The sequence below is a fragment of the Homo sapiens genome, chromosome 5 (genome assembly GCF_000001405.40).
Source record: "Homo sapiens chromosome 5, GRCh38.p14 Primary Assembly".
In the NCBI taxonomy this organism is placed as follows: Eukaryota; Metazoa; Chordata; class Mammalia; order Primates; family Hominidae; genus Homo; species Homo sapiens.
Genome location: NC_000005.10, coordinates 129162590 through 129176136, shown reverse-complemented (window position 1 = coordinate 129176136; position 13547 = coordinate 129162590). Strand labels below are relative to the sequence as shown.

The window sequence follows — 13547 nt, the reverse complement described above, 5'->3', positions numbered from 1 at the left end:
AAATCCTTATCCCCAGTGTAACCATATGAAAATCATCAGGAAAACAAAATGAAGGACCTTCTCCAAAATACTTGACCAGTATGCCTCCTGTCAATGTCATAAAAAAAAAATTGAGAAACAGTCATAGCCTGGAGTAATATAAAAAGACATAGCAACTAAATATAATGTGATATCCTGTATTGGATCCTGGGCAAATGAATTTAGCAAAAACTAATGAATTACAAATAAAGTATACAGCTTAATCAATAAAGGAAAAAGTAACAAACTACTAATACATTCAACATAGATGTGTCTTATCTGAAACTCTAGAAAAGTTGTAACCGCAGGAACAGAAAATAGAATAAGGATTGCTAGGGGCCAGAGTTGGGGAGTAGGGATTGACTGCCAAGGGGCACACTAGATGACTTTTTAGTCATAGAAATGTTCTACATCATTATTATGATAGCAGTTACTAGCCTGCATATTTGTCAAAATTGGTGATATTTGAATGTAAATTAGAACTCAATAATGCTATTTTAAAAATAACTTCTTTGGCTGGCATGGTGGCTCATGCCTGCAGTCCCAGCACTTTGGGAGGCTGAGACGGGCAGATCACTTCAAGTCAGGAGTCCAAGACCAGCCTGGCCAACATGGTGAAACCCTGTCGCTACCAAAAATGAAAAATTAGCCAGGCATGGTGGCGTGTGCCTGTAATCTCAGGTACTCAGGAGGCTGAGGCAGGAGAATCGCTTGAACCCAGGAGGCGAAGGTGGCAGCGAGCCAAGATCATGCCACTGCACTCCAGCCTGGGCAACAGAGCGAGACTCCATCTCAAAAATAAATAAATAAATAAAAAATAAAAAGAACAAATTTTTCAAAAAAAATAAAAAGTAACTTCCATTGTCTTTAGGCCCCTTAGCATTTAGTCAGTTTCACAGCCCCATCTCAAAAGATAGTATCAACACAATGTGGTAAGCATGCTAATAGAAGTGTGACATATCATTACAATATTGAAGTAGTTTCCTGACACAATTGTGGGAATGGAATCTCAGGGAAATCTTCCCAGAGACTCTGACAGGAATTTTATTGTCCCATGTTTTCGCATGTTTCATGGGTGGCCAACTTATTCCTGAAAGAAGTTCTGTTCTCTTTACGTGACAAACCTACTTTAATAGAATATGAGGTACCTGGTATTTTACATTACTATACGTGACCTCAGCCAGAAATTAGTTATGTGTTAGCATCAGAAATTTTCATTCATTTCAACACAGGACATTGTTAAAGGAGGATGGGACTTTAAGAATGTGGGAAAAACCCTGCACAGCAAGAGGAAGTTGCTCTTCCAAGTTCATGAAAACAGAATTAAGCTTGTAAGTTTATCACTCTCTCAAATGTTCTGTCAGCCCCAAGGATATTCTTTCTTGGAATATACTTATGTGATTTTTTTTCCCATTTTTCCCCTATTACCTTCAAACACGCAATAGCAGCTGGTTTCAATGACCATGTTGAAACTCGGCAGATTATTCTCAACTGAAATATCCAGTCTTGATTTTGGACTCTTCTGCCTGGTGCTTTGTGTCTTTTACTGGCTCTTTCTCATGAGAATAAATATATTTGCTTTCTTCACACATATAAAACACTGCTTCTTATTTTTGCCAAAGATACAACCATCCCCTTTAATTCCCCAGGCTCACATTATTGGAATAAATTTTTAATCCTGTCTCCCTCTTGATCTCCTATCCAATTCATCATCAAGTCTTTCCAAATCCCTTACCCAAGTATAAGCTCACATTTCCTCATATCTGTACTCTTAAGATGACCCTCCTTTTCGTACCCTTATCCACCGTCTGTTCTAAAACACCCTTTATACAACTGCTATAACACCTTTAAATATCTTTTCACTGACACCTCTATTCTATGTAAACATCTATACTTCCCATTTTCTGCTATAATAAATTCAAACCTCCGTGTTTAACATTCAGTGCCTTATAAAAACTTCTCTATATATCTTATGTTTCAAGAAAATTTGTTTGCTTTTCCACATTTAGAATTTACTGTGCACTAATTGTCAGATTTAGTTCTTAGAATAACTATAAAATAGAAACTACTATCATATCCATTTTACAGATGAGGAAACTAAGAAACAAAAAAATCAGAGTAACTTGCCAAAGATTATGCAATTTACAAGTAGCAGAGTTACTACTTTATTCCAGATCATTTTGACTCCAAAGCCCATACTCTTAACTATTAAGCTGTACTGTCTCCACATCATACATCTCACTCTGTGGGTACCATATCCTCCACTAGAATCTCTCTTCTTTCCATTCACATCTCACATGTTAACTTTCTCCAGGTTGGCTTTAATTGAAATAGTCACCCAGTGATATTCGTGGTTCTTATTTTTAGCCTTATATACCACATCTGTTTGCTTTTATAGATGATCTGAAAAATTGCAACTTTGAGAATTATGCATGTCTTACATAGCCTATATCCCCAGCACCTAGCAAAGTCCCTGGAGTATTGAACATTATCAATAAATATCTACTGAATGAAATATGAAAATACAGCAAAGAATGAAAAGTTTTTCATTTTTAGGAGCCCCTGGGTTCTATATCTTTGAATCTTCTAAGTGGTTGTATACTTCTCTGTACACAACAAAGATTCAGTAAAGGTAAACTAATAGTTCACTATGCTCTTTGTATTTTAAATGTGCTACTGCACATAGATGCTATTTTTTTCTGTAAAAACACCTTGAAGTTACCATTTGGGTTCTCTTGGAGTTTTCCTCTTTAATTCACGAATGTGCACAGGTTAGACAAGCAATGTTTGCGTATGAAAATGCATTCAGAGGCTGGAACTACTTTTCCTCAGACCCCACAAATGCGAAGTTTTGGTATCTTAGAATACATGGGAAAAAAACAAAACTGAAAAAAAAGTCAAAAATTAGTTGAACACATGAGCAACAGGAAGTCATTTGACATTTATGAGTGCTGTCCTTTTAAGTTCCACTGTGATGGCCACCTTTACTGCTAATAGGGTCACATTTTAAAATATATGCCTGAATAACAAGAAACGTAGCGGGGGAAAAAGGAGAGATGATAGCTTGCATTTACCTAGCATTCTACCCCTCCCATGATTTCAAAATCATTTTCTTTTTCTACCCTAAACAACAAAAGCCAAGAGAGTTATTATCCCAATTTTACTTACAATGTTATCTAAACACTAAGATTAAATTATCTTTCCAAAGTGATTGGGCCAGTAAGTAATACAGCTGGGACCAGGAGTCAGGCTTTCTGAATCCCAATCCAATATTCTGACATATTTGAATGTTACTGCTCTAGTAGCCAATAAATTATTCACAATGGCTTGCTTTGTGATCTGGGGTATATTTGTTAAACAGTGCTACCACCTGCTGGTAAGTTTTCCAACAATACACATTATAGTAAATTCCAAAATAGCAAATATAAATAAATAAGACAAGAAATAAAATTTATTACAACTACACTTACCCACTGCATTATCTAATTGTCATTCCTACTGTGCTTATTGTATCTGCTTAGACACCTTTATGAAGTAGCCAAATTAATCTTGCCAGATTAAGTGTCCAAACATTTATATCTCCTCTCAAGAAATTGTAATTAATTTTGTCTGCTTTCTAGAATGTATATATCTTGGAATGCATTTTACTGATTTTTAAATCAACCATTAATCCTGAAACTTGCGTGCACATAAGAATCACCTACCTGTTAGTGGGATACTTTTCAAATGTAGATTTCTGATTTTCTCTCCTGAACATTCTCTCACTGTGGACGTGGAGTCAGAAAAAAAAAAAAGTTCTTTTTAATGAGAACCCCAAGTTTTTCTCATAATAAGGAAAGTTACAAAATTCTGACTTAAACAATTTGTCTTGGCTCTACCCTTAGTTGGCTCTATGAGTTTGATCAAAGAACTCTTCCAAAATTCAGTTCTTTGTGAGAAAAATGCATGTATTGTAGCAGAATCCAATCACTATATATTGTCTAAGAACTTTCCATTCTGGGCATACTCTTTCCAAATAAAAACATTTTTTGAATATCCATAAAATTAATCTATAGAAGACAAATACATTTATGATAACTGAATTTTCACAGATGAGATAATTGGAAAAAAAACTGTTTTATTGACTCAGCAATGTTGCACTTTCAATCTAGCATCCCTGTATGGTGAAAGAGTTATTAAAAAAAATTAAAATAAAGGGAAAAACAATTGCCAACATCAGTGATTTGGGAACATAAGAATTAAGGCATTTTCACACTACATGTTTTCTCATAATCCTTTATCCACTCTGAGTCTAATTGAACAATGTCAGAGCAGAAAGATAACAACCACTAGAAACTGTAAGATATTCCTGGCTATAATTCCAATAGTTAACAGCCTCCAGATGCTGAAATCCAGTGTCCCACAGTTGTAAGAAGAAAAACCAGTAAAAGATTAGCCTTACTTGGGAGAGTGTTGGGTGCGTAAATGAGTTATGTTAGAAGGGAATGGAGTCTGATTCAGAACAGGCTGACCTGAGGAAAAAGATGAAGCAATTAAGGTGTCTTGCTGACCTATTCTCTATCCCATCTTTAACTTGTAAAGCCAATGCTGGCAACATAAAAGATCCTTCTGGTGAGTGAAACCATCTGCAACTCAGTAAAAATAAAGGACGAGAATACACAAACTCTGTGAATTCTACTTCCCACTCCTTTGTCCTCAGACTCACCAGCACTTAATAGCACATGGAGAGCTAAGCCTTCCATGTGGGAAATAGGCAGGCCCTCAGGAACAGGCTGCTCAGGTCTGAGGCAGTTAGGCTGGAATTGACTATGCCACTTAGTGCTGAAAATTTTTTTGTTTCATAGATATGCCTTCACATGGTCATTAAAAATCCTCATCATCTCTTTATAAGGCTAGACATCTCTGGCCACTGTTGTACAATTTTAAAGATGTCCTTTAGTCTAACTAGATTTTACCTATGAGAGAATGTAAACCATGATAAAATAGCAAAGCTAAAACTGAGAGTTTCACAGGGCAGGTAAACTGATTATTTTTTCCAGTTGACTGAAGGACTCCACTGAACTGCTCTAAGTAAAGTGGCAATAGAGTACAATATACTTTGAAACCAGGCTGTGTTCACTCGGACATCAAACTGCTTCCCTATCTGGGTGGGAGCGGTGCCCTGGGAGTCCTGGATGAGAGTAGTTCCCTGGGTGTGCATCACATCAAACTCAAGGGAGTTAATTTAATTATTTGGTCCAAAGTACTACAATGCAAGAAAAAAAATCTCTCCATTTGTACAAAGAAGGGAAAAGTATCTTTTTTCATTTCTCTGCTGATTATATGACAGGTATCTGAATTCAGAGATGATACATAGGTATTTCTAATTGAGTGAAGAAAATAACATCTGATTATATAATGCCTATTTTTAAATCGTTCCACAGATCTGCTGTCTCACCTTGAGTAGCATTAAATTTGACCAAGCCAGATACCTAAGAATCTGTCTCTATTCTTCTGTTCTTGCTCTCGCTTCCAAAGTTCTCTAAGATTCTAAGTTTTACTTCCAAGTATATTTGAATCTGTTCAGTTTTCTCCATGCCCAGTGCAATCTAGTAGCTGAAATCTCTGTCATATCTAACCAAGTTTACTAAAATAGTCAGCTAAATTTTTTCCTGCTTCCAATCTTGCCCCTCTCCAGTTAATCTTCTATTCTAAAACCACAACATTCTTTCTAGAATGCTAGATATATGTTTATAATATTTTCTGCTCCAATTGAAATCCTTAAAGTCCTTGCTATCTTCCTTAGGAGTTTGCTATTCAAAGTGTGGTCCATGGACAGGCAGTGTCAGCCTCATCTAGGAGCTTATTAGAAATGCAGAATATGGGTGGAGTGGAGGGGATGGGGGAGGAGCTGTAGGTTTTCGTCATGCAGGAATGAACTAGAAAATGAACTACTATTCAAAAAGCAGTGCACAATATTGTAGGCAGCAACCCCAGACCCTATTAAATACAGGCTATGGCCCATCCTTTCCTGGGTCTGTGGTACCAGAATCCCATCTATGATCATCTCCATGTTACTGGGGCAGGTTTAATAAATTTAAGTCTGTGTTCTATATTTATTTGCACTCAGAAAGTATTCTGCCTTTCTAGTGCCACAATCTCCATTTCCTACCACACCTAACCATGTTCCCAGTGTCTTATCATACAGCACAGTTCCAGCACTAAAATGCCTTTGGAGAAAGAAAGAAAATCAAAAAGACTCAATCTGATTTTAAGCAGGCTGAAAACACATGTGAAAAACAAAACATCCCTGCAGAAGTCAATAGCCATAACATAGCTGGTATGGCCAGTTTCCTCACTACTGCTATTTACACAGAAGCTGACAACATTCCTGACAAAAGAGATAGGCTTTATTTTATGTTACTCATAAGAGGAGATGACATGGTAAGAGCCCTTCTAATAACCCTTCATATAGAAACACACCTTTCAGAAGCAATGCACCTCTGAGAAGGAGAAAGTGTGAATAAAAGAATAGATTCCCCTACAGTAAAATTATGGGACTTTTAAGGAAAACATCAATTTGTATGATGTGGCCTACGGTAAAGACCTGCAAGGGAAAGTGGCACAGCACAAACCCTCAGGAGGATTTCAGAGCACACCTTTGCTTTCACAGAGTTACTGTAAAAGCAAGAGTATGCTCTAAAACCCTTCTGAGGATGAAGATAACATTATAAATAAATATGAGCAAAGAGATACTATGGTTTAAGGCAGTGTCTTAAAGTTGAAGAAGACAAAGAGATCTTGAAGTCAGGTGCTGGCATAGAAATGAACATGGTTAAGAAAAAAAATAGATATAAGGCTGCCCCCCAAATCCTCTCAGTAAAAAAGCCAGGGATGAGGTTCAGTTGGTAAAAAGCCCAAAAGAGCATGAAGTTAAAAGTGTGCAAGTCTATGAATGTCAAGCAGTTCCAGCAGGAGAGGTAACTCCCCTTCAGCATGGAAGCGACCTGAGCCTACCATTCAATGCCCAGAAGCACCTCAGTGATGGGAGAAAGCCAGGCTCCCAGAGAAACCCTGTCCCTCACCAATCCAGCTGGTGCAGTCCAAAAAAGTTGACTTTATTGGACTAAAGTGATTGAATGTAATATGAGCTAGACTGAGAAGCCACATCTAATAGAGCCTTGTGTTTATGCAAATCTGAAAAGGGTGATGAAGATGAGGAACTCTGTGAAGATGAGGAGCCCCATGTAGTTGAAATGTGTCATGTGGATAAAGAGTATGATGCACATGAAAAGCATGCCATAGATAATAAAGAAATAATGGCAAATGGTGTTATCTGCCCTGAGAACATCTGTCCCTTGCCTTCCCAGCTGGCTCAGGCCAATAAAGTTGTAAAAGTGATCCAATGTGATATGAGTGCCTCTGAGAAGGACCATCTCATAATAGCATCTCAGTGATCACTGTGGTTGAAGAAGATTCAGTGCTAGACAGCCCTGTAACAGGGCAGACACAGAATAGTAAAAAGGGCTCAGTTCAAAAGGCAATCAAGAGTGGGAAACACAGTATAGAGGAAGAAGAAATGATCATGAAAGAAGAAATTGAGGAAGTCAAGGATGAGAATTTCATAAACTTTACAAAGATTTAAAAGACTGTGAAAACCAAGAAGCTGGAAGCTTTTGTCATCTCCCCAATTCAAAAGACAATATATGGGTGGAAAAGTCCTACACTGAACATGTTGTTTCCTGAGGATTTAGAAGACTGTGATGTGGAAGGGAATGCTGAAGATGACAGAGTATGCCATTTTGAAGAAGTTAATGCACAGAGTTCTGTGATTCTTCACTAGGGTAGTCTTTATCCAGAGATTAGCAGGGTGATAAACTAAAGTGTCCCAAGAACTCTCTCCCTCCCTGATACATCATCAGGCATGCCAGAAAGAAGAGCAAGTTGAATAATAGTGCATATGAGAGTATCTATATGGTTTAAGAGATGAACTGGTGAAGGACTGCTGTGAAATCACTCATGGCAGCCTCCAGAAGGAACTCACCATGGCCAAACAGGAGGGCTTGCAGTCTGAGACAGTCTCTCCCAAATCACTGCAATGTAATTGTGAGAGGTCTAAAAGCAAGGTGCCTGGAAAGCTAATAAATAAGCAAAGATTTGGCCTAGACACTGAGGAAATTTAAGAAATACCCAGTAGATATACAGGAGACAAATTGCTGAGTTCCACCTACAAGGAAGACTTGATTCATGCATATGTCATGATGGGAAAGAAGATTTTTCATTTGAGCTAACAAAACTCTGGTATATACCAATGAACAAATTAGGAAATAGGACATGTAAAACTTTCTGAACTAGAAGTTTTAAAACAGCAAACAGAAAAAAAAAGCAGAATATTAAGCTTCATTCCAAACCTCCTGAATTAGAATCTAATCTGCATTGTAAAAATATTCCTAGTGAGTTTGAATGCACATTAAAGTCAAAGAACCACTACATTAGGGTAAAATCCAAATTCCCAATTCCCTTACATGGCTGACAAAGACCTTCACAAACTAGCCCCCACTTACCTTTCCTGTTGCCTCTCTTAGCAACTCTCATCTATCCAATTTACCATGATGCTTCCTTCCATTTAGGTTTGCAAATGTCTATTTCTTTTCCTGAACACTGTCCCCCAAGCCACCACCCCAACTTCTTCCTTGCTAATCCCTACTCATTCTTTATTCTCCTAAGAAATTCCCCTAGTAGACTGAGATAGGTGTTTCAACTAGGTACTTTAATGACACCCTAATCTATTATACAACTTCTCACACTATTGTAATTGTCTATATCTTCCAAAAGACTAAGTATTCTAGAAATAGCAGTTTTGTCTGTTGTTGCATATACAACACAAAAGAAATCACACATATTAAGTGCACAATAAATACTTATATAATGAATAAGGGGGAAAAATACCCAATTACCTAGTTAATTTTTTTTTCCTGCCACTATGCAGGAAATTTTGTATTTTTTCAACTTCCAAGAAACCTAGTTTTGGAAACCCAGGCTGAGTGTAGTGAAAAGATGTATTCAGACAGTTGCTTGAACAGTTAGGGAGGAGGAAGCAATCCAAAAGGCAATGTCTCAGAAAGAAAATAAATGCAACTGAACAGGAAATTGTTAATCTAAAGGTGACAGTCAGTAGGGAAGACACTGAGTAAATAAGGTGGGAGCAAGATGCTTTGAAGTAGAGAAAAATGTGGAAATATGACTAAAAAAGTCACTTCTAGAAGGAAATCTGCAATCTTTGGAATTGAGAGTTCAAGAAGGAGTAAATACAGCACCCAACTGTTCAGAATATTATGCTTTTTTGTTCCCTTTCAAGGACATTTCTTCCTCCTCTCTCCTTTGTTTCTTTCATCTAGAAATAATTCTTACTTAGAAAGGATTTCACACTCCAAGTGATGAGATCTGCATTTTTAAAATGCTGTTCTACTCTATATAGCTGCTATATGGAGAATGAAATAGATGTCCAGAGCAGAGACTAGGAGGCCAACGACAGTAAACCAAAAAGCAATTGTAAAAGCCTGGACAGAGATAGTGGTAGTGAAGGTAGAGAGGATGGAATGCATTTGAGTGATATTAGAGAGGCAGAGTTGATGAAATGAATAATGAACTAAAATGTAACCTTCCTGGCTATTTTTTAATATTTTAATACCTGATTATATTCAACATATTGCTAAGAAAATTGCAAGTGGTTAACTTCAATATAATTATATGAATACTACAAAGAAAGTAGTGTTTGTGCTACATCACTATTCACCTTGAGATTTAACCAGAAAATTCCTTTCTAAAAATTAAATCCCTGATACATACTACTTTGACTATAAATAAGCAGAATCTAACCTAAATATCTTATGGCTGGATTTCATCTTCTAAATCAGTTTTCCTATCTTTTATTATTATGATACAGTAATAGTAAATTTGATTTAGGACTCTAAGCTCCATCTTGGAGATTCTTTAGAGAAATCCTAAGTCTCTTGTATATTTCAGAAAAAAATAAATTTCTTAGCCTAACTTCAAAGGCATTCTAGAAATAAAAGGAGGTTCTGTCCAGGAAAATAAGTCCCAATAAACTAAGGCATAACCATCCTGTATAGGCTATTGTTCTACTAGGTACGACCAAGGTCTGGTTAACTCAAAACTACTTATTACTTAGCAGAGTAGCAAAGGTTTAGAGTCCACATCATTTTGCTTTAGTGTTTTATACTGCCAAGAAAAAGTGTTAAAACATACATGTACTTACAAGCACAGCCAACACTATAATCTGCTATCTTTAATATTTAAAGAAATAAATAATATATAAGAAGTAGGAAAGATATAATTTCCAAATAAAACAGATTCCTTTAAGTTAAATAAATTTAGCTTAAAAACACACATACACAGTAACACGAACCTCACTGCAGGAGGAAATTCTGCTGCTAGCTGTGACTATGTAACTAGTACCAGACCAGCCTTTCACCTATAAATAATGATGAAAGTGGAAAACATATGTGAGATGACTGTTCGGAGGCATAAAACCGTTATGGCTGGATGACAGATAGTGCTTAGATAACTGGTAGCTCAGGACTACAGTCTTTGACAGAAAAGAAACTCATGAGGTAAGCCCTGCCATTATGCTGGCTCTGTCTGAAGAAAATTTTCTAACTGCAATGCAATAAACTAGAATCCAAAGTTTGGGCTTTCTGGTTCAGAGGTAGTTCTGCTGAATTGAAGAGGCAAACATCAGAGTTCCGAGAAGCATAGAAAGCAGAATACGTAAAACACAGCCATCTGTGTAGAGGTCGAATTCTTGGTCAAGGATGTACTATGCACATGCAGAGCAACACTACAAAAGGCTGACCAGAGAGTAGCTTCCACAGGGTAGAAAATGTAACAGAGATACTAGAGGTCAAGAAGTTCTAGGAACCTCTAGAAGTATGGCTCAGCAGTAGAAAGACCTTAGGCACACCTCCTTAACACGTTAATACTATACACATTCAGCTCCGACCAAAAGCCAATTTTGGGAGTAAGGACCAAGCCCTAGATTAAGGCCTACATTAATTTACCCTGAAACAGATTGAAGCCAAGTCCTGAAATATCTGCAAAGAAGATACAGTAGGGGAGAGGGAAAGATGGCCCACTAGACACAGCCAGGTGGAATAGCTGCCACCCAGGGGCCGAGATGACTGGCACACTCCTAACAGGTGTCCAGAGGGAAGACACAGAAGCTGGGAGTCCTGCACAGGGCTACCACACACCAGGACTCATTCCTGGCCCCCAAAAGCTTCAGGGAAATACGTGAGTTTAACTGGCAAGGAGTAACCCACTCTTGCCATAGGCCTCTGGAATCCTGGAAAGAGGCCTTGACCACCATGAACACTCAAGTTGACAGGGAGAGCTGCTTAAAGAAGTGGTAGGGGCAGCAAACCAGCTGATGTGGAGCCCAGGGGGTTTGGTGCAGGAGCGTCTGTAGTGGAGCATGGACAGGGACGCCCATTCCCCTAGGCTGAACTTGCTCCCATAGGAGACGCTAGCCCTAGAACACCTGTCAGACCTGAACTCTGCAGGTCAGTCTTGCACATCAGATAGGGCTGGCCTGAACTGAGTACCCCCTATCCTCCTGGCCTCTCTCAGGGCCCTAGCCTGGCTGTGCCTGCTTGCAGGGCAGCCTTGAGTGCCATAGGGGCCCATATCATAGTTCCTGCACTGGCAGACTGTGACTGGCAGAGAGCTCCACTGGGACAGCCCCCTTGGCCAGGCACCAGCCTGCCTGCTCCCTCCCCACACTGCAGCTTCCCCCAGGCCTGCAGCAACCCCCTACATTGCTTTGCCATAATGTGTTTCCAGACTGGTTTTGCCTTCCTTGCCCCACCAGCACACGGATGTACGTGCACCCTGCCCTGCCACTGCTGCAGCAGGAGTGCAGTCCACTCCCCACACCGTGCCCATGCCAACCACCATTGCAGTCAGAGCCTTGGTGGGCACAAAGCCAGCATCCCTGCCCCTGCTAGTGCCCCACCCTTGTGCTAACACTGCTGCTGGAGTGAAACTAGACAAAAAGAACAGCAGCCCCTCCTCTGCCTTGAGCAACCACCTCTGCCTGCAGTGCACAAAGAATACAACCAGTCTAGCACCTGCCAGTGCCCCATCCCCATGCCAACATCATCCACCAGTGCAACTGTACACACAGTCACCAGCAGAAGATCCCCACCCCCAGCTGTGCTGCCTCCCTTATTGTGATGAATGCCGGCATAGAGGCAGGCAACCAAACATCCTCCAGAACCCTGTCACAGCCAACAAATATGCACCTCCATGTGCTGCCACTGGCACATGCAAACAAAGATGGATCCTGCTGTCACTACACTATATAATGCTTGGCTGACACCAGCTATTAGAGTGTAGTAAGCAGTAGTCTGAGAGCACCCTGGCCCACCCAGCCCAGTGGATTCCTAACCTCAAGAAACCAGAGAACAAAGTTGGGGCACAAGTCCAGAGTTAGGGCACACAGTCCAGATGTTGGGAACCAAGCCTTGACCTCCTAAAATCTTTCAGAAATGAAGGCAGTTGGCTGAATCTGCCTTATACCTTAAAGTTTGATTGGATAACGGGGCACCAAATATGATAAAAGAAAAAAATCCAAAGGTCAGCAACTTCTAAGACTGAAGGAACATCAGCCTACAAAGATGTAAAAGAACAAGCACAAGAACCCTAACAACTCAAAAAGCCAGACTACCATCTTTACTCCAAAAAATTGCATCACATCTCCAGCAAGGGTTCTGAACCAGGCTCAGATGGTTGAAATGACAGAAATAGATTTCAGAATATGGATAGGAAAGAAGATCATTGAGATAGAGTACATTGAAACCCAATTCAATGAAGCTAAGAATCACAATAAAACAATGCAGGAGCTGACAGACAAAATAGCCAGTATAAAAAAATGGTAACCAATATGATAGAGCTGAAAAACACACTACAAGAATTTCATAATGCAATCACAGGTATTAATAGCAGAATAGACTAAGCTGAGGAAAGAATCTCAGAGCTTGAAGGCTTTCTGAAATCAGACAAGAATAGAGAAAAAGTAATGAAAACGAATGAACAAAACCTCTGAGAAATGCAGAATTATGTAAAGAGACCAATTCTATGACACATTGGTGTCCCTGAAAGACAGTGTAAGCAATTTGGGAAACTTATTTCAGGATATAATCCATGAGAACGTCCCCAGCCTAGCTAGAGAGGCTAACATTCAAATTCAGGAAATGCAGAGAACCCAAGTAAGATACTTCATAAGAAGATCATCCCCAAGACACATAATCAGATTCTTCAAGGCCAAAATAAAAGAAAAAATATTAAGCCAGGTACAGTGGCTCACGCCTGTAATCCCTGCACTTTGGGAGGCCTAGGCAGGTGGATCATTTGAGGCCAGGAGTTCAAGACCAGTCTGGCCAACATGGGGAAATCCCATCTCTACTAAAAATATAAAAATTACCCAGGTGCAGTAGCATGCACCTCTAATCCCAGCTACTGAGGAGGCT

At 39.2% G+C, this 13547-nt stretch overlaps 1 long non-coding RNA gene across 3 annotated transcripts in view, besides 1 other annotated feature; it reads right to left on the bottom strand.

The window, feature by feature from the left end:
• The window catches only part of LOC102723654 (uncharacterized), a 253720-nt gene that overhangs the window by 217792 nt on the left and 22381 nt on the right, over positions 1 to 13547 (bottom strand). For 2 of the 3 annotated variants that reach the window (XR_001742463.2, XR_001742465.2), the window contains exon 3: positions 3723 to 3782. The exons of the other annotated variant lie outside the window; for it this stretch is intronic. This is a non-coding gene — a long non-coding RNA (uncharacterized LOC102723654). The remainder of the gene's footprint in view (positions 1 to 3722; positions 3783 to 13547) is intronic. 3 annotated transcript variants of the gene reach the window in all.
• Positions 11352 to 11851: an enhancer, noted in NCBI's record as "H3K4me1 hESC enhancer chr5:128499979-128500478 (GRCh37/hg19 assembly coordinates)". NCBI's record gives its function as "activates a minimal SCP1, AML or CMV promoter by ChIP-STARR-seq in naive H9 embryonic stem cells {active_cell/tissue: H9 hESC(naive)}" and the evidence as "EXISTENCE:reporter gene assay evidence [ECO:0000049][PMID:30033119]".